At 50.9% G+C, this 21,495-nt stretch overlaps 1 protein-coding gene and 1 long non-coding RNA gene across 9 annotated transcripts in view, besides 7 other annotated features; one reads left to right on the top strand and one right to left on the bottom strand.

Moving 5' to 3' along the window:
• The window catches only part of TMEM51 (transmembrane protein 51), a 67,913-nt gene extending 61,072 nt beyond the window's left edge, over nt 1-6,841 (bottom strand). For 4 of the 8 annotated variants that reach the window (NR_135082.2, NM_001136218.2, NM_001319665.2 and 1 more), the window contains exon 1: nt 5,453-5,660. The gene's annotated coding sequence lies outside the window, so the exon portion shown is untranslated. Of the gene's footprint in view, nt 1-5,452; nt 5,661-6,168 lie in introns of those variants that run through there. The other 4 variants (NM_001136216.2, NM_001136217.2, XM_017001590.2 and 1 more) reach the window with 3 other exon arrangements.
• Nucleotides 4,155-4,816: an enhancer, noted in NCBI's record as "H3K4me1 hESC enhancer chr1:15481087-15481748 (GRCh37/hg19 assembly coordinates)". NCBI's record gives its function as "activates a minimal SCP1, AML or CMV promoter by ChIP-STARR-seq in naive H9 embryonic stem cells {active_cell/tissue: H9 hESC(naive)}" and the evidence as "EXISTENCE:reporter gene assay evidence [ECO:0000049][PMID:30033119]".
• Nucleotides 4,817-5,478: an enhancer, noted in NCBI's record as "H3K27ac-H3K4me1 hESC enhancer chr1:15480425-15481086 (GRCh37/hg19 assembly coordinates)". NCBI's record gives its function as "activates a minimal SCP1, AML or CMV promoter by ChIP-STARR-seq in naive H9 embryonic stem cells {active_cell/tissue: H9 hESC(naive)}" and the evidence as "EXISTENCE:reporter gene assay evidence [ECO:0000049][PMID:30033119]".
• Nucleotides 4,817-5,507: a biological region, named in NCBI's record as "H3K27ac-H3K4me1 hESC enhancer GRCh37_chr1:15480425-15481086".
• Nucleotides 4,948-5,037: an enhancer, noted in NCBI's record as "active region_232". NCBI's record gives its function as "activates an Ori minimal core promoter by ATAC-STARR-seq in GM12878 lymphoblastoid cells {active_cell/tissue: GM12878}" and the evidence as "EXISTENCE:reporter gene assay evidence [ECO:0000049][PMID:35858748]".
• Nucleotides 5,188-5,367: a silencer, noted in NCBI's record as "silent region_298". NCBI's record gives its function as "represses an Ori minimal core promoter by ATAC-STARR-seq in GM12878 lymphoblastoid cells {active_cell/tissue: GM12878}" and the evidence as "EXISTENCE:reporter gene assay evidence [ECO:0000049][PMID:35858748]".
• Nucleotides 5,458-5,507: a silencer, noted in NCBI's record as "silent region_297". NCBI's record gives its function as "represses an Ori minimal core promoter by ATAC-STARR-seq in GM12878 lymphoblastoid cells {active_cell/tissue: GM12878}" and the evidence as "EXISTENCE:reporter gene assay evidence [ECO:0000049][PMID:35858748]".
• Nucleotides 5,568-5,837: a silencer, noted in NCBI's record as "silent region_296". NCBI's record gives its function as "represses an Ori minimal core promoter by ATAC-STARR-seq in GM12878 lymphoblastoid cells {active_cell/tissue: GM12878}" and the evidence as "EXISTENCE:reporter gene assay evidence [ECO:0000049][PMID:35858748]".
• Nucleotides 6,842-6,942: 101 nt separating the features above from the next.
• TMEM51-AS1 (TMEM51 antisense RNA 1) overlaps nt 6,943-21,495 on the top strand; it is a 40,650-nt gene continuing 26,097 nt past the window's right edge. The window contains exon 1 of the long non-coding RNA NR_027136.1: nt 6,943-7,116. This is a non-coding gene — a long non-coding RNA (TMEM51 antisense RNA 1). The remainder of the gene's footprint in view (nt 7,117-21,495) is intronic.

The raw sequence follows: 21,495 nt of genomic DNA, 5'->3' as shown, positions 1-21,495 counted from the left end.
CAACAGTGAGGCCTATGGGGGTCACAGGCTGCACCGTGAACGTGTGTTTTGAGTCGCTCATTTGTGGAGGGGTCAAGGGTCTACATCTGCAGATTCTCCTCAATGTGAGGCCTGAGTGCTACCTCCCCTGCAGCAAAGGCCCCAGCCTCTGTTTTGTGGCCTCAGTTTCTTCTAGGAATTGAGGAGGCTAGACGAACAATGGCTTCCAACTTTCTGTTTTATTTTTAAAGTCACAGAGTTTTAAAAGTGGATGTTTTGTATCCTTAGCATAAGCCGAGCTTCCTTCCTGTCGGCCCTGCCTCCACCACTCAGCTCTGTCCCTGCAAACCCCTGAGTTGCTTCTAGGACCCATCCAAGGTTTCCCAGGATCACAGTATAACCGGAGCTACATTGCGCAAGGTTCTTACCATGCAGGAGGAGAGACGTTTTTACCTAGTGACTCAGTGCACATCCACAAACAGATAACTGAAAGTTTTACTAAGGAATATTTCTCGTGACAGGAAATGCATGCTATTTTCTAGTCCACTGTCTTCTACTTCACTTTTAAAAATCCAGCGGAAAACCACTCAACGATGCTCAAATCCACTAGTAAGTGGCTGTCCATTCTGTGAACATGAGCTTAGAAAATCCCCAAGATACGAGTACTTCCAGTACTGATGATTTATGGCATTAACAAAGCTGTGATCCTGGTAGAGAGAGACAGAGACCCCGCCCCATCCTGTTCCCAGAATGGGGTGTCCTACCTGAATCACCGATTAGGAAACAAATTCTCTGCACATCTTTGCTATTGAAACGCCTACTCTGCAAGAGCCAGGGTTTGGAGATGAGCATGCCAAATACCGATTTTTCTAGAGACCTGCAACTTGCCTAACCCCATGCCTAATCCCAGGGAGATTTGGGGCAAGGGGCAGTGATGGTGGGGTGGCGGCACTTGGATGGGTTAAAACAAACACAGCAAAAATAAACACATAAAAGTCAGAAGAAACAAAGCTGTCTCCCTCCCTCTGTATGAATTTGGGTCACACGCATCACACCCAGATGGCCCGTGGCTTCCATTTCTAAGAGTTCAGAGAGAATTGCTTTCCCAAACCCCATGGTGATGCAGAAAAACGGCCCTCTGGACTCCCACAGTGGTGAATTGGAAACGTCTTTGCACTTTGCACAGCGTCACAGGGTTTTGGCCAAGGGAATACCTGCTAGCCATCAAGGGGTGGAAGCACGTGAGACCTACAGGTTAGATCCTGCGTGAAGTCACTCACATTATCTCATGAAGATAACAGGCACTGTAATGACGAGTTGAAAAACCAGGATACGGGCTGGGCATAGTGGCTCTTGCCTGGAATCCCAGCACTTTGGGAGGCTGAGGTGGGAGGATCACTTGAGCCCAGGAGTTCAAGACTAACCTGGGCAACACACAGAGACCTTGTCTCTATTTTTTCAAAAGCAACAACAACAAACCAGGACATGAAACAGCTCAGCAAACAAAAACCTGAATAAAACGCCACCATATTAACAGTGGTCGCCAGCCTTCACGATGTCATCTGCTCGTTTTTACAAGGAGCACCTACTTCTTTTGTAATCTGTGGACGAAGACAACTTTAAAAGCCTGCCATCCAAAGACACATTATCAAGTCTGGCTAAGGGAGTGCCAGATAAATGCACTCACTAGCTCATGCCGTGGTGTTAATGCCAGTTTGAACAGACAGGACCTGGAAATGCGCAGACACACTCCTCAATGTGCACACCTCATCTTTCAGGACCCTTGGCCCTTACTCCTCCTGACCATGTCACCACGGATGCCACAAAAACACCTGGTAGTGTGAAGTGCAGACAGAAAGGGGATCTTGGAGGGGGAGGGTGCCCTGTTTTGTTTTTCAAGAATCATCCTCAAAATCATTCAAGACAAACTCTGGAACCTCGGGTTCTGGTCCTGGCTGTGATCTCAGGCAAATCTCCTCTTCCCTGGGTCTTGGTCTCCCCAGTTGTCAAATAAGCAGAGTGGATTTTCTGATGGCTAAGATCCCTCTGGCCCCGATATTCTAAGATCTGAAGCTACGCATTCAGGTTTAAGGGCTGCTAAGTCTGATAAATCCAGGGCAAGAGAGAATGTGGAGACTTTAGGTTGCTCCGCCCAAGTAAACACCACAGACAGAAGGTGAGGACCAACCAGCAGTCTTGAGACGGGAGCTGAGGGGAGGAGTCGAGGGTCAGGGGAGCTCAGCAGAGACCCTCAGAGGGCTATCTCTGGTCAGCATCTTGGGGCTGTCTGGGAGGGACAGGGCTGTGTGGCCTGGTATTGGGAAACCAAACAGGTGGCTTGTTTCTTCCAAACAAACGGCCTGTTTTCTTTCTCAGGAGCAAGAGCTCCCAGGAGGGGTGGCCATGGCAGCGAGGGCTCAATCCAGAGGAAGGGAGAATAAAACATTGGCAGGGGAGGCTGCACCACCTGTCCAGGCTGGGGAGGAGCTCAACTCTATGAAGCCGCTTGAAAGACTGAGAGGTTGAGAAACCTGGGGCCCAAAACAGTCTTGGTCCCGAATGTGGCCAGGTCTCCTGGGTTAAAGTAAAGGGCCCTAGAAGGGAGTCAGGAGGGCTGGGTTCCAGTCCCAGTTCTGCTGCTGAACTGTTGTGTGTCCTTGGGTAAGTCCCATCCCCTCTCTGAGTTTTGTTTGTCAAATGAGAATGATGTCTCTGATGACCTGAAGGTCCCCTCCACCTGAGACATTCTAGGACCTTCCTTTTCCCTCCAAGCAAAGGGAGACTTGAAGCATGGAGAAGGATATTCTCACAGCTTTCGCTGCAAGAGGAGGATTCCTCCCAGCTTCAGAGCAGAAACAAAAGTGAAAGCAAAAGTCAGCAGCCCCCATACCACATCCCAAGTCAGAAGACACCTGAGCTTCTGAAACTTTCCCAGCACCGAGGGAGACAATGCTTCTCTTTTGCATGACTCCCACCTTAATTTGGGGCTGGGGGAAGAGAATCCACACTAAAGCTCCTCACACTCTGGCCTCTTCCAGCCCAAGAAGCCTGAGGGGTTTACAGCCAGGCCTGCAGAGGGAGGGAGGAACGTTGACCAGAAACACAACCTATTAAAACGGGAGCCCCAGAAGCTCCAGCTGGCCTCTGCCTCCAGCTTTCCCATCCCTCACGCAGACAGAGAAACTCCCAGGCCTCGTGACATCTGGAGCCAGCGAGCCGGAGAGTCGCAGCTGGAGGGGCTTGGGTCCTGCCAATACCCCAGACACTCACTCACTACTTCTCTCTGGCAGGGGACCAGGCTGGCAGTTTGGGCCTCATGTAGAACCCCAGAATCTTACCCTTGACCAACAGTCATGAGTGAAGGCCACACATTACTCTCTGCTTCCTGTATGGGCCTCTCCTCCAGCTCCCCCATTCATTCCCACTGCCCCCACCAACCCACAGGCCAGCCTCTCTCTCCTAGGAGTCTTCTCTAGGATCCTCGCCAACTTCCAGGCAGCCAGGATTATCTTCTTAACATATGGATGGGATCAGACGACTTCCCTGCTTAGAGAACTTGAATGAAAGGGACGTCTTTCTCCATGTTGTTCATCTTTGTTGAGCACCTAGAACAGCGCCTGGCCCACAGAAGGTGCTCGGCCAACATATGTTGAATGATTCCAAGAAAGCCCCCACCTGTCCAGTCCAGCTCACTCCGGACCTTCCATTCCCTTTACTTTTCCACACCCTCCACTGCCTGAGCACCTTCCCCAGCCCAGCACACCCCAGGCACTCTCCTGTCGCTGTGCCTTTGCCTGTGCTGTTCGATCTGCCCAGACACCCTTCCTCCCCTGTTCCCTGGGGGGACTCCAGTTCCCTGATGAATATTCTAATACTCTTTTCTTAGCAGGACCTCCTGAGTTATTTCCTTTCTTCTGTTCTCGTCTAAGCCCTGTGACATAACTTACTATAGAATACTTCATGTGCTAGGCATAAATACCCCACCTCGCCCTTGGAGATCATCATCCCATTTTACAGATGAAGAAGCTGAGGCTCAGAGAGGTCAGGTCACACAGCCAGCAAGTGGTGTGGCCTGACTGTATCGCCAATTCTGCAACACTTTTCATGAGTATCCCTGACTCCCTCACTAGGCTGGGGGCTCCCTGAGGCTTCTGGGCTCTGGGTCACTGGGGCAGGCCCCAGACACCCCATCAGAGAGCTGTCAGCTCCGAAGCCGTGAGGAGCAGGTTCACCACTAGCCTCCTCTCTCTTTCTTTGGCCTTTTCTCCCAGTCTGGGGGTACCTCTCAATTGGTGGAGTGAGATATTTGGAGGGGCAGGGGCTCTGTCCCAATAGGTCAGGATCCTCTTGTGACAGGTTTCCGGGGTGTGAAAGCTGTTCACGGTCCCAGGGCCAACAGTTCCCTAGACAAGCTGTTCTCCGGGTAACCCATTCAAAAGGAAAGCCAGAAGCCGGCCGGTCCTAGAGGGGAAAGCCTTCCACCCGCTGACTTACCTCCCGGTTCGGGTCCCTGCCCCGCCCACCTCGTCCCCGCCCACCCCACTCCGGCAGCGCCCGGGTTCCCAGCAGCCAGACCTCCCCTGCTGTTGGGAAGGACCCGCAGTCCCATGCACCGTCACAGGCACCTCGGAGCGCTGCGCAGGACACCCCACGGGCTGCTCCCTGGGGAAACCGTGGGGGAGGGGCCAGGTCTCTCGCCCCCACCGCTGGTTGGGAAAGAGACCATTATCCTGTAATGCAGACCAGGCGCGCCGGGCCAAGCGCCTCCCGTTTGTGCGCTGATTTGAGATCTGATTTGTACTCTGCTCTCCCCTAGGCCCGGTAACGTAACTTACCGCTGAGTGCTTGCTGGGTGCTGGGCATGAATGCCCCGCCGCACCCTGGGACGTTGTCATGTCAGTTTCACAGATGAAGAAACCGACGCGCTCAGGGAAGGACTCGAGTTTCAATCCACTTTGCTCATGCCCGATTCTTTACCCCCGTGTTTGCTTGTAGAGCGACACACACACATACACACACACGAATCTAAATCCCTAAAAGGCCCCGACTTCCATACAGTAAGGGATGCGCGAGCAAAGCGCCAAGGTGGTTTCCTGGGACCTACTGGGAAGTTCTGCTCCTAACCACGCGCTGAAAGCGCTTCTGGCGAAGCCAAGGGTTCGAAGCCCGCCGGGCGGATAGCACCTGTTCCCGCCAACAGGGGGCCCCCAAGGCCAGCTGCCTTCCCCAGCCGAGGCCAGCTGGCCAGGCGCGGTGCCCGGGAGGCGGGAGCGTCCCGCGCCGGCGGGGCGCGGCCGCAGAGGGTGCGGGGTGCGGAGTCCTCCCGGTGGTCGACCCCAGGCGGGAAGCGCTCGGCGGACAGACGGACGGACAGGAGACCCAAACGGGCCTCGGCCCCCTTACACGGCCCTGTGGGGAACCGACAGCGCGCCGCGGGAAGCAGCGGGCGCAAGGCGCGGCGGCTGAGACTCACCCGGGAGGCGGCGGGTCCGGCTCCGTCTCGGCTGGGCGGTCCGGGACTGCGGGCTTCGCGACCCCCGCGCCCCACCCGGGCGGCCTCCTCGGTGGGCGCCGCGATCGCGGGGCTGGGGTTCGGGGGATTCTTAGCCGAGGGAACGCAGTGGTGGAGAGGGCGCACTGCCCTCTCAGGGACCGGGTTGGGGACGCAGGAAGCGCGGCCTGGGAGCGCCGGCGTGCGGGAGGGAGGGACCGCGGGAGGCGGAGGGCGGTGCCGGCCAGGAGCGGCCTCCAGCCCGGAGAAGCACCGCCCACCGGCCGACCCTCCCTCCCGGCCCTCGGCACCACCCCCGGGCCCGAGGCGAGGGATCGCAGCTGAGCGAGGCGGGCACCCACTCCCCAGCGTATGCCGCTGGAGCGCGCTGAGCGTGTGCCGGGGGCTGGGCCTAAGTTCTCCCCAACCCTTGCCAGCCGAGTTGGATAAGAGGGGGTCGGGAGAAAATAGAGCCCTGATCCCCCCTCCTCCCTAGGGCCCAGAGAATCGGTGTGCATGCGTGTGTGCGCGCACGCGCGTGTGTGTGACGGGTGGTGGTCGGGGAATGTCTCAAGCTAGAAGTCCCAGGTTTTAGGGGTTTAAGTGGAGCTGGGAGACCCGCTTTCCTCCCACACCAGGCGCAGACGCCGAGGCACAGCTCCGCCAGCCGCCCCGCCTTTACCTGGCGGGATACTCACCTCTCCTCCTTCCTGGGGAGGCCACCGCCTCCCTCTCCCCCTTCTGCCCTGGGCTGGTTCCCAGCGAGGTGAGTGACCGGCACAAGTAGGGAAGGAGGAAGCGAGTTTTTAAAAACTGAGTCAGCTCACGCCCTCGGCCAGGGTCCCCACCCGATGCGTGGTCCCCAGGGCGCCCTCGGGATCGCACGCCCGAGTCCCGGCCCAGGTGGGGCCCATTCCGGGTTCTTGCGCGCGGGCAATGGATGGGGGCGCGCTGCACCGGGAGCCTGCCCTGCTGAGGGCTCATCCCCAGCTTTGCCGAGAACTTTCCCGGCGAGGCACCGGCTGGCGTTTTCCCAGCCTGCGAGTGGCAGGCGGGCAGCCAGTCTCTGCTCGGATCCACGGAGGCCCGGAGCCGCCACGGAGTTCTGGCTCCGGGGAGTGCAAACCCGAAGTCGGCGCGGAAGCCTCTCACCCGCGGCTCTGCCTCCGCCCCTTGGAGATCTGCCCTCGGAACTGCGTTGCTCTGGCGCCCGAACTAGGGTGGGCTGGTTTCAGCCAGACCGCCAAAAAACGTGGATGCTAAACACAGAGGGAAGAGCCAGCTCCCATTCCCTCTCTGAGCCTTAGATTTTTTTGAATTCCGAGAGAGGTCAGGCCGGGGTCCCCTTCTTGGGTGAGCGTCCAGCCCTTTGAAGTTCAAACACTGAGAAGCCGATAGGCAGCTGGCTGGCGTCACAGGATCGAGCCGAGGACTGAAGGCGCCTCCTACCGGGAATCCACCGCCTCCAGACGAAAATAGGCTGCAATCAAGTTCACTTCCAAAGGCGGAATTCATGGGTACATATGGTGTCCACGTGTGTACACCTGCAGAGTTGTAACATGCGGGCATTTCTCCCCTCAGCCCGCCATTCTGGCTTCTTAACTTGCACCCTAACAGCTCGACAGAACCTTGGCGTCCACAAAAAGGCAAGTTTGGGTCTGCCTTATGATTTGGGGGTGGGAAGGCATTTGGGGAAACAGTCTCCATGTCTATGACAGCAACTGCTATTCCTCACATCCTTGCTATGAACCAGGGGCGGGGTTACCACCCACATCCCCTGAACCATCTCATTTAATCCTCATAACCTAGGAGGCGGTTATTTGTTATGCCCACTTTATAGAAGAGAAGGCTGAGGCTTAAGGAGGTGAGGTCATTTTGCCCAGTGAAAACACAGCTGGGAAGTATCAGGATCTAGACCCAAGATGATCCACTCCAGAGCTTCTGCTCTCCCTCCCATAGCATAATTCCTCCTGTCTGCACATACTCTCCACCCTGAGAGAATGTTCACCTTGCCTGGCCACCTGCAAATGCGGAATAAACATTTGTTGGATGAATGAAAGCCCTAAATAATAACCCATGATTTTAGTGAATAGGGAGGACCCTTTGTGTAGGCAGGTACCTATAATAATATGCTCCCATTTAAGAGCTGTGCGTATTCATCCCAAAGTTTAGACAATGCATGTGGGGACCTTCCCAGGCTCCAAAGGAGTGACAGGAAACAGTCACGTAGCTCTCAGATAAGACCAGGAATCTGGTTTTCATTTGACTCTGCAAGATGGACTTTGGAGAGGCCTGGGGTGGGGGCGGGGGGTGATCATGTCAGAACAGCTGTCCCAGCTCCTAATCTGAAGACAAAGAGCTGCTGTACTTTTCCATGCCAGGGTCATCCCAGACCCGCCCCACTCTGCTGCAGACTCAACTGGGCAGGTCTTGTTTATCACAGGATATCATCTTCAGAGTGTTCCATTTAAGCAGGCTCACCCTGGCTGATCTGGGGAGAGACTGACGAAATTCTCAGGCAAAGCTGAGGCCCAGGCAAAACTGAAGAAGCTACCAAAGGAAGCATGCCTCTCCTTATCCTCCTCTCCTCCACAGCCCTCTCCCTCTACATGGTTAGTTTCTCTGAATCTTCCCTACCATTTATTGAACCCTGTGTTTCACGTGCACTGCATACATTGTGTTCTTTGGTTTTCAAAACAGCCCTAGAAGGAAGATTCTATTATTCTAGTTTTTCAGATGAGGCTGTTAAGACTCAGAGAAGTTAGGTACCTGGATCTGCTAGCAAGTGACAAAGTATTTGAATCTGGGGTCTTTGCAGGGCCCTTGCTCTAAATCACTAAGCTAGGAACCCCCTTCTGTGATAGGCAGAATAATGGCTGCCCAAAGATGTTCACAACCTGATCCCCAGAACTGGTTACTTTACGTGGCAAAAGGGACTTTGCAGATGGGATCAAGTTAAAGATGTTGGGACGGGGAGGTTATCCTTGATTTTCCTGGTGGGTCCAATGTTGTCAAAAGGGTTCCTACAAGAGGGAAGCGGGAGGGTCAGAGTTAGAGAGGGAGATGTGGTGATAGAAGTAGAGATCAGAATGATACAGTTGCTGGACAAGGGTCAGTAGCCAAGGAATGTGGGCAGCCTCTAGGAGCTAGAAAAGGAAAGGAATGGAGTGTCAGCCAGAGCATCCAGAAGGAGCTCTTGGCATCCACAAAAAGGCAAGTTTGGGTCTGCCTTATGATTTGAAGGTGGGAAGGCATTTGCAGATCCGTTTTGGACATCTGACCTCCAGAACTGTAAGAAGATAGTTCACTGTGTTGTTCTAAGCCATGAAGTTTGGGTCAATTTGTCACAGCAGCGGGAGGAAACTAATACATCCTGCAAACTCAGTCACCTAGGCAGATGTTCACTTCACCTGCTTTTTTGGCTAACTGTCCACTGTAAACTTCTGAAGAGGCACCATGATCTAGCCTACATCACGGATTTAGAAAGAAGGCAGGATTCCATCACCTTTGTCTTTGGTTTCTGAATCCTCTGCTATTTGTGAGTTGTGTGACCCTGGGCAGATGTCTTGTCCTCTCTGAGCCTCAGTTTCCTCATGTGTCAAAAAAAAATTATTAGCATTTCTATGCTAATAATACCTATTTTCCAGGACCAACTCGGGGATCAGGTGAACTAGTATGTGACAAAGTACCCAGTGTGGCCTGAACATGAGTTGTGGGAGCATTAGCCTGTCTAGTTCTGAAAGCCTGAATTCAAAGAGGAGAGGATGCTGTTCTGAGAATTCCCGTGGCATTACATTTTTATTCTTTCTGGCTGAATGGGTAAATAACGACAGTTTTAAAATATTCGACTGTCCCTGGTTAGTGACCAAGACCCCAGTCTGTCATGCTACTGACTTTCCAGGCACATCAATGAAAGTGAGGCTGGAAAATCAGCTTATAGAAATAGATCATCATGCAGAACAACTCACACATGTGCTCAGGAACAGAACGTCCAAGGGTTTTCATTGCTGATTAATTGTAACGGTGAAAAGTGGTCACCAACCTCAATGCCCAGCACTAGGAGCTATGCTAAGTAAATTGTGGCATAGACTCATGCTGGCACACTATGAAGTCACCAGAAAGAATGAGGTAGAGCTATCTGACATGGAAGAACGTCCAAGTTATATCATTCACCGAGAAAGGCACTAAATATGATGATACTACACAAACCACTTTTTTTATTTTTTATTTTTTTGAGACAGAGTGTCTGTCACCTAGGCTGGAGTGCAGTGGTGCAGAGGTTGCACTACAACCTCTGACTTCTCGGTTCAAGCAATTTTCCTGCCTCAGCCTCTCGAGTAGCTGGGATTACAGGCGTACACCACCACGCCCAGCTAATTTTTTGTATTTTTAGTAGAGATGGGGTTTCACAATGTTGGCCAGGCTGGTCTTGAACTCCTGACCTCAAGTGATCTACCCGCCTCAGCCTCCCAAAGTGCTGGGATTACAGGCATGAGCCACCATGCCTGGCTCACAAATGACTTTTTAAAAAGATGTAGACACACATACATATATTTGATTATGTACAGAAAGACTATGGGAGGAATCAAACCAAACAGGTTACCCTTAGAAACTGAGGGGGGGTGTGTGTGTGTTGGGGAGGTAATTTTATTTTTTAGTGAGAATGTGTTAATAATAAAGTTGGCTGGAAACCACCTGTATTGTCCACCAGGAGCATATCCTCCTATTATCTGTCCCTGTATCCTCCCTTGCTTGCTCTGTTCTCTGCCATCTGTCATTCTTTACCCTTGCTTGGTTCTGAGCAGGTCACTCTCTCTTCCCACTGACTTTTTTTTTCAGACAGGATCTTTCTCTGTCACCCAGGCTGTGGTGCAATGGCATAATCTCTGCTTACTGCAGCCTCCACTTCCTGGACTCGAGTGATTCTTCCATCTCAGCCTCCTGAGTAGCTGGGACTACAGGCATGCACCACCACACCTGGCTAAGTTTTAAATTTTAAATTTTTTTGTAGAGATGGGGGTCTTGCTACGTTACCCAGGCTGGTCTCAAAATCCTGGGCTTAAGTGATCCACCTGCCTTGGCCTCCCAAAGTGCTAGGATCACAGGTGTCAGCCACCGCGCCCAGCCCCCACTTACTCTTAATGTGGGCTTATTTCTAAACCTGTGAGGAGCTGAGCAGTGTCTCTGCTGTATGACTCTTGCCAAAGTCAGCAGTAAATCACGTATGTGCACTTTCAACCTGGCCTTTTCCTGAAACGGTGCACATTAGTCACCGGGAAGGGATGTGTCTTGCGTGTAGGTTTCACTGGTGATATACTGGCCCAGCCCCACTGAAGGCTGAATCAGGTCTGTGTGGCAGACAAATTGTGCTCACGTAGCGCAAAGCAAAATTGGATAGTTGGACCATTAGTTTAAATAAAACAGTTTTGTCCCGTTTGCTGAAAAATGTTGATTCTGGAAATGTGTTTCTATCTGAGTTACCAGTGTAACTGGACCTGTGTAGACAGCCCAGAATGAAGCTTCTGAGGACATCGTCGCATTGGGGTACAAGTTCTTGAGACCCCTGAGAACAGCCAGCTAGCAATTCTACCTCCCTATCACCCCATCTCCTCTTGTGCTCCAGCTTGTAGAAACTTCCCTCTAAGCCTCAGCATGATTGCAGTTCATCTGGCTGCTTCCTAACTGGTGTCCTGCTCCCAAACCCTCCCCCTTTAATCCATTCTCTGTATTGTAAAGTCAGCAATTCAGTGGGTCCCCGTTGTCCCCTCATGCAGTCCAGCCTTCTCTGCAAGGACATGTGGGACTTCCTAAGGGGGTGGGCCCTTCTCACAAGCTCAGCCTCATTACTCGTCATCCCTTGGGCTCCATGCTCTCTCATCTTCCCGTGGGTCTCTTTTTCATCAGCGACGAAACCTTTCCCAGAAGCTCCCAGTAAACTTCCTTGATACCTCCTTTGCCGGAACTGGGTCATATGCCTGTCACTGGCAAGGACGCTCAAAATGGGCATAGGCTCTCAGGATTCACCTGGAGTCACCTGGGGGTTGGTGAAGACACCTGAACCAAATGGAGGCTTTGACAACAGAAACAATGCCAATGGCTGTCAGAAGACCCCAGCAGGTCCCTGCAGCAGGTAACCTCGAGCCCAGGGAAGCTGCCATGTTGGACTGGCACACACTGAAGCAGGAAAGCCAACTGCAGAGGGAGCAGGAGAAAGAAGCAAGCCTCCACTTGCTGGGCTCAAGTGATTCTTCCATCTCAGCCTCCTGAGTAGCTGGGACTACAGGCATGCACCACCACACCTGGCTAATTTTTAATTTTTTTTTTTGTAGAGATGGGGTTCTTGCTACGTTACCTAGGCTGGTCTCAAAATCCTGGGCCTAAGTGATCTACCTGCCTTGGCCTCCCAAAGTGCTAGGATCACTGGTGTGAGCCACCGCGCCAGTCCCCACTTACTCTTAATGTGTAATCCAGGAGGCCTGGATTACTGCTGGCCCTCCTGTTCTGTTTTTCCCAGGAATTTCCTTTCCTGATGAGTTTCTGTTTCTTGAAATAAAAGGACACTAAGAGAGTCCCTTTGAAGCTTCGACAAGCAGCTGAGGAGTAATGCCAGAGGCCAGGCATGGGTGCCCTGACCTTCTGCTAGTTAACTAACTGCTCAAGGGCCCTGTGTGATGGGATTCCAAGGAAATCCACTCACCCCTTGGATAAGCCAATGACAACAATAATAGCAGCCAACCGTCATACAGTGCTGACCAGGGCCAGGCAGTCTGCTACACACTGTACAAGGCCTGCTGCATTTGATCAGGCTCGTCACCACATGAGGAAGGTACTATATTTCCCCTTTTCACAGATGGGGAAACTGAAACAGAGAGGTTAAATGACCTGACCATGAACACCGAGCTGGCAAAGCTGGGGTCTGGGCATGGACCCAGGCTGCCTGGAGGCTGTGTTCTTGCAGCTTCTCTACCCTGGCTCTCATAGAACTGGTTGCTTGTGACACCCTTCAGATGGGACTTCTTGATCCAGGTTTGGAGAATGGGTCATAAACCTGGGGACAGAGGGGCCCAAAGGGAGAAGCAATGACAGTATCTTCCACACCTGCCACGGTCCTGGTTGCCCGCGTACTCCGCCTTGCTGCTGTAGTGTGATAATATTTCACTTGATGAAAGTTTTTTTTCCTCCCTTTTGTTCTTTCCAGACAGTGGCTCTTCTTCCTTTAGGGGAAGCCTCATCCAGCAGAAAAGCAGAGATGCTTTTGAGTTTCAAGAACCAATACTTTGGCATTACAAGAGCCTGGGCTTTGAGTTTCAAAAGTAGAAGTCCCAGAGGCTTCTAGGAATAAAATTTGTGGCATTAACAAGACATCCTGAAGACTGAGCACGATGCAAAAGTCATTTCCCCATGACCAAGATGAGGTCAAGTGCCCTGGGCCAGGGGTCTGGACAGAGGATCTAAGGAGAGTGGATGAGCCATGATGATGTGGGGCTAGGGAGGTGGGTGGTGCCCAAGCGGCAGTCCCACACTAGCTTCATAAGTGTGGCTTTCAGGCAAGCTCAGGAGAGTGCCTGCTCCTCCCCTCCCAAGGCACAGATGCAGTGGGGGAGGGAGTAATTGGCAGAGGGGTGACGCAGCCTTGCAGAGGTTTACCAAGCTCTGCCAACATCTCCCGTGTGCCCCAGAGGAGGGAGGAAGAAGCTGAGAGGAGGAGAAAGAGGCCAGGCACAGAGACTTCCAGGAGGCCTAGGCAGCTGCATCTGCCATCAGGAAGATGGAAGTGAGGCCAACATAGCAGATGTCAGGGGACACCAGACACTGACCTCTGCCCAGGCCTTGGCACTTTCTGAGCCTCCTCTACCCCAAAAACAAATCTAGACGCAACCCAGGGCAAGAGGTAGGGAGGCCCTGATTAATTATGGCTAGATGTCTTTCTACCAGCCAAATGGGGACTTGAAATAGAAATTCAATCTAATTTTGAGAGTGGAAGTTGTGTTTCTTGCACCTCTAGGATGTGACTGAAGGTCCTTCTGGTTTCCCTGCTGTTCCTCAAAGGGCTTTGCATGTCTTGCTCTGCTTTCTTGCTCATTTCTACACAAAGGAGGAGGTTACCAGGGTTCTTTAGGAGAAACAGATGTGGCAGAGTCATAGAGTGGAGGTCACAATATTCCTCCTGCCCTTTCTGCATCCTCTTGTGAGCAGCCCACCAGTCTCTCCTTCCTACCATCCAAACTGTCCCAATCCCCTCCTCTGCAGAAAAGCCTCCCAGTATTGACACAGCAGAGTGGATGGTTCTTTGTACCTACTTCATAACGACCATAAGCCCTCAACCAACAGTGTACCTGCTCTTACCCTACCTGTCATTGTGTGTACTTGGGTGGAAGTTCAGTATTACACAATGTTGTCTGGGTAGCAGTTGTCTTTGTTGTGACTCTTTGAGATCTTTAGATTAGAGTGTTGCAGTTTTGGCACTATTGACATTTGGGCTGGGAATTCTTTGTCGTGGGAGACTGGTGCATTGCAGGATGCCAAACAGCTTCCCTGGCTCTACTCTCCAGATGCCAGTAGCACCCCTTTCCCCAGCTGTGACAATCAAAATGTCTCCAGACATTGCCAACTGTTTCCCCTGGTGGCAGAGGAATCAGCCCCAATTAATAATGGTTGCTTAGCTGGGTGCAGTGGCTCACGCCTGTAATCCCAGCACTTTAGGGGGCTGAGGCAGGCAGATCACTTGAGGCCAGGGGTTGAAGACCAGCGTGGGCATGGTGAAACCTAGTCTCTACAAAAAATAACAAAAACTAGCCGGGTGTGGTAGCAGGTGCCTGTAGTCTCAGCTACTTGGAAAACTGAGGTGAGAGGATGGCTTGAAGTCGGGAGGTCGAGGCTGTAGTGAGCTGAGATGGCGCCGCTGCACTCCAGCCTGGGTGACAGAGTGACACCCTGTGTAAAAAATAAAAACCAACCAACCAAACAAAAGAACTATTGCTTAAAACATTGAACACAGGATCCCCGGCATATGGCTTTTGCTCTGGAATTGATGTCTAGGAGGATAGAGAGCAAAATTTAGTCAGAAAATCGGTGGCCTCGAGGTCAGAAGACCTAGGTTCAAGCTCTAGTTCCATCACTTCCGTCTTGCGTGATTTTGAGCAAATCATATAGCTTTTCTGAGCTTCAGTTTCCCTATACGTATATTGGGGAATAATAAATGAGGAGAGGGATTTTCATTTGTTTTGTTCACTGCAGTACCCCCAATACCTAGAATAGCACAGGGCACATAGGAAGTACTCTATACAGATGGGTTGACTGAAGAACTCTATCTCCGCTCCGCCTCCCCCACACCCAGGGCTTCTGCAGGGTTCAAATGAAAAAGTCTAAGAACTTCCATGACTGAGGGGTCACAGGAAATATTGCACCCCATTCAAACTCAGAAAACAACAGCCACTAGCTGACATTTTCTAAATTAATTTTATAAATCATAAAGATTCGTAATAGCCAAAAACTGGGAACAAACCAAATGTCTTTCAATGGTAAATGGTTAAACTGTAGTGCATCTATACCATGGAATACTACACAGGAAAAAAAAAACCCAAATCAGCCGGGCAGGGTGGCTCATGCCTGTAATCCCAACGTTTGGGGAGATGGAGGATGGGGTGGATGACTTGAGGTCAGGAGTTCAAGACCAGCCTGGCCAACATGGCAAAACCCCATCTCTACTAAAAATACAAAAAAATTAGCTGGGAGTGGTGGTGCACACCTGTAATCCCAGCTTCTTGAGAGGCTGAGGCTTGAGAATCACTTGAGCCTGGGAGGTGGAGGTTGCAGTAAGCCGAGATCGTGACGCTCCACTCCAGCCTGGGCAACAGAGGAAGACTCTGTCTCAAAAAATAAAACAAAACAAAACCCCCAAATCATTGACATACGCAACAACCTGGATGGATTTGAAGGGAATTATGCTAAGTAAAAAAACACCAATCTCAAAAGGTTATATACTCTATGATTCCATTTATGTAATATTCTTGGAATAAATTATATAGATGAAGAACATTGCCAGGGGTTGGGGATGAAGGTGGCCACAGTGGGGTCACCTGAGGAAGCTCATGTTGATGGAACAGTTCTATATTTTTTGAAAATGTCTTATTTTTAATTTTATGGTTATATAATAGGTGTATATATTTATGGGGTACATGAGATATGTTGATACATGCATACAATGTGTAATAATCACATGGTAAATGGGGTCTCCACCTCAAGCATGTATCATTTCTTTGTGTTATGAACATTCTAATTCTAATCTTTTAGTTATTTTAAAATGTACTATAAATTATTGTTGACTGTAGTCACCCTGTTGTGCTATCAAATACTAGATCTTATTCATTCATTCATCTTAATCATTCTAACTATATTTTTGTACCCATTACCCACCCCACTTCCCCTTCACTCCCCATTACCCAGCCCAGTCTCTGGTAACCATCATTCTGCTCTCTGTCTCTATGAGTTCAATTGTTTTAATTTTTAGCTCCCACAAATGAGTGAGAACAGGTGAAGTTTGTCTTTCTGTGCCTCACTTATTTCACTTAACATAATGACTTCCAGTTCCATCCAAAAACAGGCAAAGGCCAGGATCTCATCCTCTTTTATGGCTGAGTAGTACTCCATTGTGTATATGTACCACATTTTCTTTATCCATTAATCTGTTGATGGACACTTAGGTTGATTCTAAATCTTGGCTATTGTGAATAGTGCCTCAAAAAACAAGGGAGTGCGGATATCTCTTTAATCTACTGATTTCCTTTCTTTTGTGTATATACCTAGGAGTGGAATTGCTGGATCATGTGGTAGCTCTAATTTTAGTTTTTTGAGGAACCTGCAAACTGTTCTCCATTGTGGCTATACTAATTTACATTCCTACCAACAGTGTATGAGGGTTCCCTTTTCTCCATATTCTCCATATTCTCTCCTTAGTTTTGTGTTGTTTTTTTGGGCAGATGGGGACAGAGTCCTGCTCTATCCCCCAGGCTGGAGTGCAGTGGTGCAATCTCGGCTCACTGCAACCTCTGCCTCCCGGATTCAAGTGATTCTCATGCCTCAGCCTCCCGAGTAGCTGGGATTACAGGCGCCTGCCACCATGCCCAGCTAATTTTTGTATTTTTAGTAGAGACAGGGTTTTGCCATGTTGGCCAGGCTGGTCTTGAATTCCTGAACTCAAGTGGTCCTCCCACCTTGGTCTCCCAAAATGCTGGGATTACAGGCGTGAGCCACCACACCTGGCCCAGTTCTGTGTTTTGATTGTGATGCTGGTTACACAAACCTACACAAATGATAAAACTGTATAGAATCTCACACACACACAGGAATGTGATCTGCAGAAATGATAAAACCGCATAGCATCACACACACGTGAATATAGGTGAAGCATGAAACCAATGTTATAGAATAAGCTCTGTGGATTATACCAATGTCAGTTTCCTGGCTGTGATATTGCACTATAGCTATACAAGATGTTACCACTGGGGGAGGCTGGGTGAAGGGCACAGAAGATCTCCCTATATAACTTTTTCAGTTTCCTTTGCATCTGTAATTACTTTAAAATAAAGACTTTTAACCCACATAATAAATCATACATAGGGAGATGGGCAAAAAATTATCAAAAGCATGTGCAGTGTTGAAAAAGTTAAATTCCCCAAATTACCAGAGGACGTTTGAGACTCAGACCACAAATCAAGCTGGCAGGAAATAGAACTAGTTTTCCATGACTCAGTCTAATTTATCTTACAAGCCTCCATTCTGCCAGGTGGCGGAAATATTCCCCTCCTCCTTTGGCTGGAATGGCATCTAAGTTCCGAGGGCCTTATGCAGTGCCAAAGGCCCCCCCAGGGGGACACCTGGTCCCTGTTCCCAGGCTGGCTGTCAGCCTTCGGTCTGTGTAAGCCCCTGCCAAGCTGTCCTTCACCCCAAACCCAACACCATGCTGTGCTCGACGGAAACCTGGCAGGAAGACAAGCCACTACCTGGTGTCCTGCAGTTCAAATGCAGTCCTCGTGTGTTTTGTTCGGCCCATAGAGTATTTTAAATCACTACTTGCCAATATTTGAAATGGGGCATTTTCACATACGAGTGTAGATATCTGGGCTAGTCCTCTTTGCACACGTCCCCTGGGGCAGCAATCGGCTGGACCTCACTGTGTGGCAGCTGCCCCTTGAACCTGGGCTTGCCTCCTTGTGGGTTCATCACGGTCCCCACCATTTCTGACCCCTTCATTTGGCTGGATTCACTCTTTTTTTGTTATGTTTTGAGATGGAGTCTCACTCTGTCGCCCAGGCTGGAGTGCAGTGGCACGATCTCGGCTCACTGCAACCACTGTTTCCCAGGTTCAGCGATTCTCCTGCTGAAGCCTCCTGAGTAGCTGGGACTACAGGCACGCGCCATCACACCCAGCTAATTTTTGTATTATTAGTAGAGATGGGGTTTCACCATGTTGGTCAGGCTTGTCTCGAACTCCTGACCTTGTGATCCGCCAGGCTCGGCCTCCCAAAGTACTGGGATTACAGGCGTGAGCCATCACACCCGGCCTGGATTCACTCTTTTACAAAACCTACCTGGCAACATGGAAGCTCGAGGTGGCAGCCCTCACTCTTCCTCACTTCTGTCCCATTTTGGGGTCGCTGGGGATCATTTTTCTCCTCCTGCTCCTTGCTGGGGTACAGAAAAACTTTGCCGTGCTATCTCAGACCCACCTGCCGAGGGATGGCCCTTCCATCTAGGGTCTTGCTGCCTCCTATGCCCACCCCGGGCTCCACACAGGAATGGGTCACCGTGGGACACGGCCCAGGGACCTCGTTCTCGGTTTGCCTTGCTTGCTTTCAGACCTCATCCTCCTGCTATGGGAACTTTTATTTGATCTCAAGAGGCTGAAGCCTTGCCGGTCCGGCGTCTGTGTCCCCTTCCCCGCAGTGCCACATCTGTTCTATCGTCTACCTACACCAGTCCTTTCTGTTTCTCCTCCTCTTCTCGACTGTTGAAAATCAAAAACCAGGACTCTCTGTTTCCCTTTTCCTGCTGTTCACCCCTTCCTGGAGGCAGTAAGCTAACAGCTGCCTGAATTTTAGGATGTTGGGGCAATAGAGAAAACTGGGAATGAAAAACGCATTGATGAATTCAAATATATCACCCTCATCGTCTTTCTTCCCACGCCAGACACTGCACTAAGCACTTACACCCATTCTGTCCCATTTCCACGTCAAAGAGGAAATGGGGCTCAGGGAGATTCGCTGTTGGCCCGAAGTTGACAGCTAGTGAGGGGGCAGAGCTGGTACTTGAACCTGGAGCCTATCCTCTTCACCACTCACTTGCCACAAAGGCGTGGCTTTGTTTCACAGCCCCCCTTCTTGCTTCCCACACTCCAGGTCCCTGTGCATCTCCACAGGGCAGGGACCGGTGGGAATCCTTACCTAGGTGACAGTGAAAGGCTGCTGGTCGAGCTTTTCCTAAAGTCTACCTCTGAGGGTGGCTCACTCATCCCCAGCTGATTGGGGTGGATAGGGTTCCAGTTACTGACACTGTGAAATAGCCTGACCCTTGACAGCCCTCCCTCAACCCCAGCAGGAGAGTCCAGCCAGCCGGAGCAGATAGATCAGCTCCCCGGAGAAGGGCAGGGTTCAAAATGGAAGGACAAGACCAGAGGCTGAGTCACAGCCTTGGAAAATCTAGTTACAGGGTCGGGGGAGAGGCTGGCGGCCGTCAGTTTGTAAATCGGCAGTCCTCCCTGCAACCTGGACAAAGCCATTTCTCGGAAAATCCAATTAGAATTCAGAGCCTTGAGGGCCAGCCTGGATTTTCTGCTGCTCAGCAACCTGCAGAGCCTGGCCCAGCTGGCCCTTGGGCCGTCCCACATCAGAGGGCCCTGATAGCAACAGATGAACTTGTTAGTGGGCCCCCTGACAGCGGCTGTCGCTTTGTACTCGGCAGGAAGGCATTCCTTTGTCACCCCTGGTAGGCAGGAACACCTGATAAGCCATCTGTCTGGCCAGACCTCTGTGCGCCAGCGGGCTTTGCTTGGAGGCTGGTATTCCAGGCCCTGTGCAGTCTGCGGGGCTGGGATCAGTGGCTGAGTCAGTGCAGCCCCAGGCACAGACTGACACACTCTGATGTTTTCAGGTTCTCTTATGGGTGATATTGTTGGACACTTGCACCTGGGACTGATTTGGATGGCGCTATTGACCTACTGACCCTTTATTTGACCAGAAAGGAGAATGGTTTTTTGTTTTGTTTTGTTTTGGTTTTGGTTTTGGTTTTTTTTTTTTTTGTTTTTTTTTTTTTTTTTTTTTTTGAGATGGAGTCTTTCTGTCACCTAGGTTGGAGTGCAGTGGTACAACCTCGGCTCACTGCAACCTTTGCCTCCTGGATTCAAGCAATTCTCCTGCCTCAGCTTCCCAAGTAGCTGGGATTACAGGCATGTACCACCACACCCAGCTAATTTTTATATTTTTAGTAGAGACAAGGTTCCATCATATTGGCCAGGCTGGTCTCGAACTCCTGAGCTCAGGTGATCCACCCACCTCGGCCTCCCAAAGTGCTGGGATTACAGGCATGAGCCACAGTGCCCAGCCAGAATTTTTTTTTTTTTAATTCAATGTAATTCAAAGTTTAAAAATTTGCACTAATTGGGATTATGATATTGTCCTGTTAGAAGCGTCACTGTTTATTTCACCTTATATCACCTTTTAGCTAATACTGGTCACCACCGATAGTGCTGGTACTTAGATTTTGAGTCCTGCATATATGAGGTAGCCCAGCTTGGTGCTGAAGTGCACGGTCCTGTGGCTCAGCTGCCTGGGTTCACATCCCAGCTCTGCTGGTTGCTGACCATGGGCCCTTGGGTGAGTTAGTTAACCTTTTGGAGCCTCAACTTCCTCATCTGTAAAATGGGTTAGTAATAGTCCTGACCAAGTAGACGTCTGTGAAATGTAGAAAGCAATGCTTGGCTCATGAAAAGTTGCTCTCTAAAAAGAAGCTTTCGGCTGGGCAGAGTGGCTCACGCCTGTAATCCCAGCACTTTGGGAGGCCGAGGTGGGTGAATCAGTTGAAGTCAGGAGTTCGAGACCAGCTGGCCAACATGGTGAACCCTGTCTCTACCAAAAATACAAAAATTAGCCGGGCGTGGTGGCGGGTGCCTGTAATCCCAGCTATTTGTCTCTACTAAAAATACAAAAATTAGCTGGGCGTGGTGGTGGGCACCTGTAATCCCAGTCACTTGGGAGGCTGAGGCAGGAGAATCATTTGAACCCGGGAGACAGAGGTTGCAGTGAGCCAAGATCACGCCACTGCACTCCAGCCTCGGCGACAGAACAAGACTCTATGTCAAATAAATAAATAGGTAGGTAGGTAGGTAGGTAGATAGATAGATAGACAGACAGATAGATGGAAGCTTTTATTGTTGTTATTGGAGAAAAGCTCCTAACGTAAGCGAGACTGTTCTGAGTCAGGGAGAGGTTGGAGTGGTGAGGTTGCTGCTCTTGAGTGAGGGATTGGGTTGTTGGTCTCAGCAGACCTGTGGTTTGAATGGCAAGGACACAGTCCTGGTAGTTGAACTAGACTCTCCGCTGTCTCTGCAGATGCTGGAGAACCAACCATGGAGGCTCTGTGGGATTCACCCAGAGAGGCGTAAAGGCCAAGAGGAGAGCACCAGGCTGAGATTTCCTCTCCATCCCTCCTTGGATTATGAACTGTGGGAGGAGATGGGCAAAGGATGAAGGAGGAGGCTACTTAGAGGCCTTGGCTCTCAGGAAGGGGGTGGGAAGATGGGGAGAGGTAGAAGATGAGTGGGGAGCCCAAGCAGCTCTGCCCTGTGTCCTCCTGGCTGCTGGGGCCCCAGTCGCTCAGGAGGAGGAAGCCACGGCCAGACGTGCTGAGTTAATGACCTTGTGGGCTGCCAGGGGAGGTGGGAGCCGCCACCCAGTCTCGTGGAAATTCCCTGATGACGGGTGGCTGAGAACCTCTGTGCACTGGAACCACCCTCTGGTTCTAGGCCTTTT

The sequence above is a fragment of the Homo sapiens genome, chromosome 1 (genome assembly GCF_000001405.40).
Source record: "Homo sapiens chromosome 1, GRCh38.p14 Primary Assembly".
Classification (NCBI taxonomy): Eukaryota; Metazoa; Chordata; class Mammalia; order Primates; family Hominidae; genus Homo; species Homo sapiens.
Note: the sequence above shows the minus strand (reverse complement) of the source record. Positions and strands in the feature narration are given on the sequence as shown.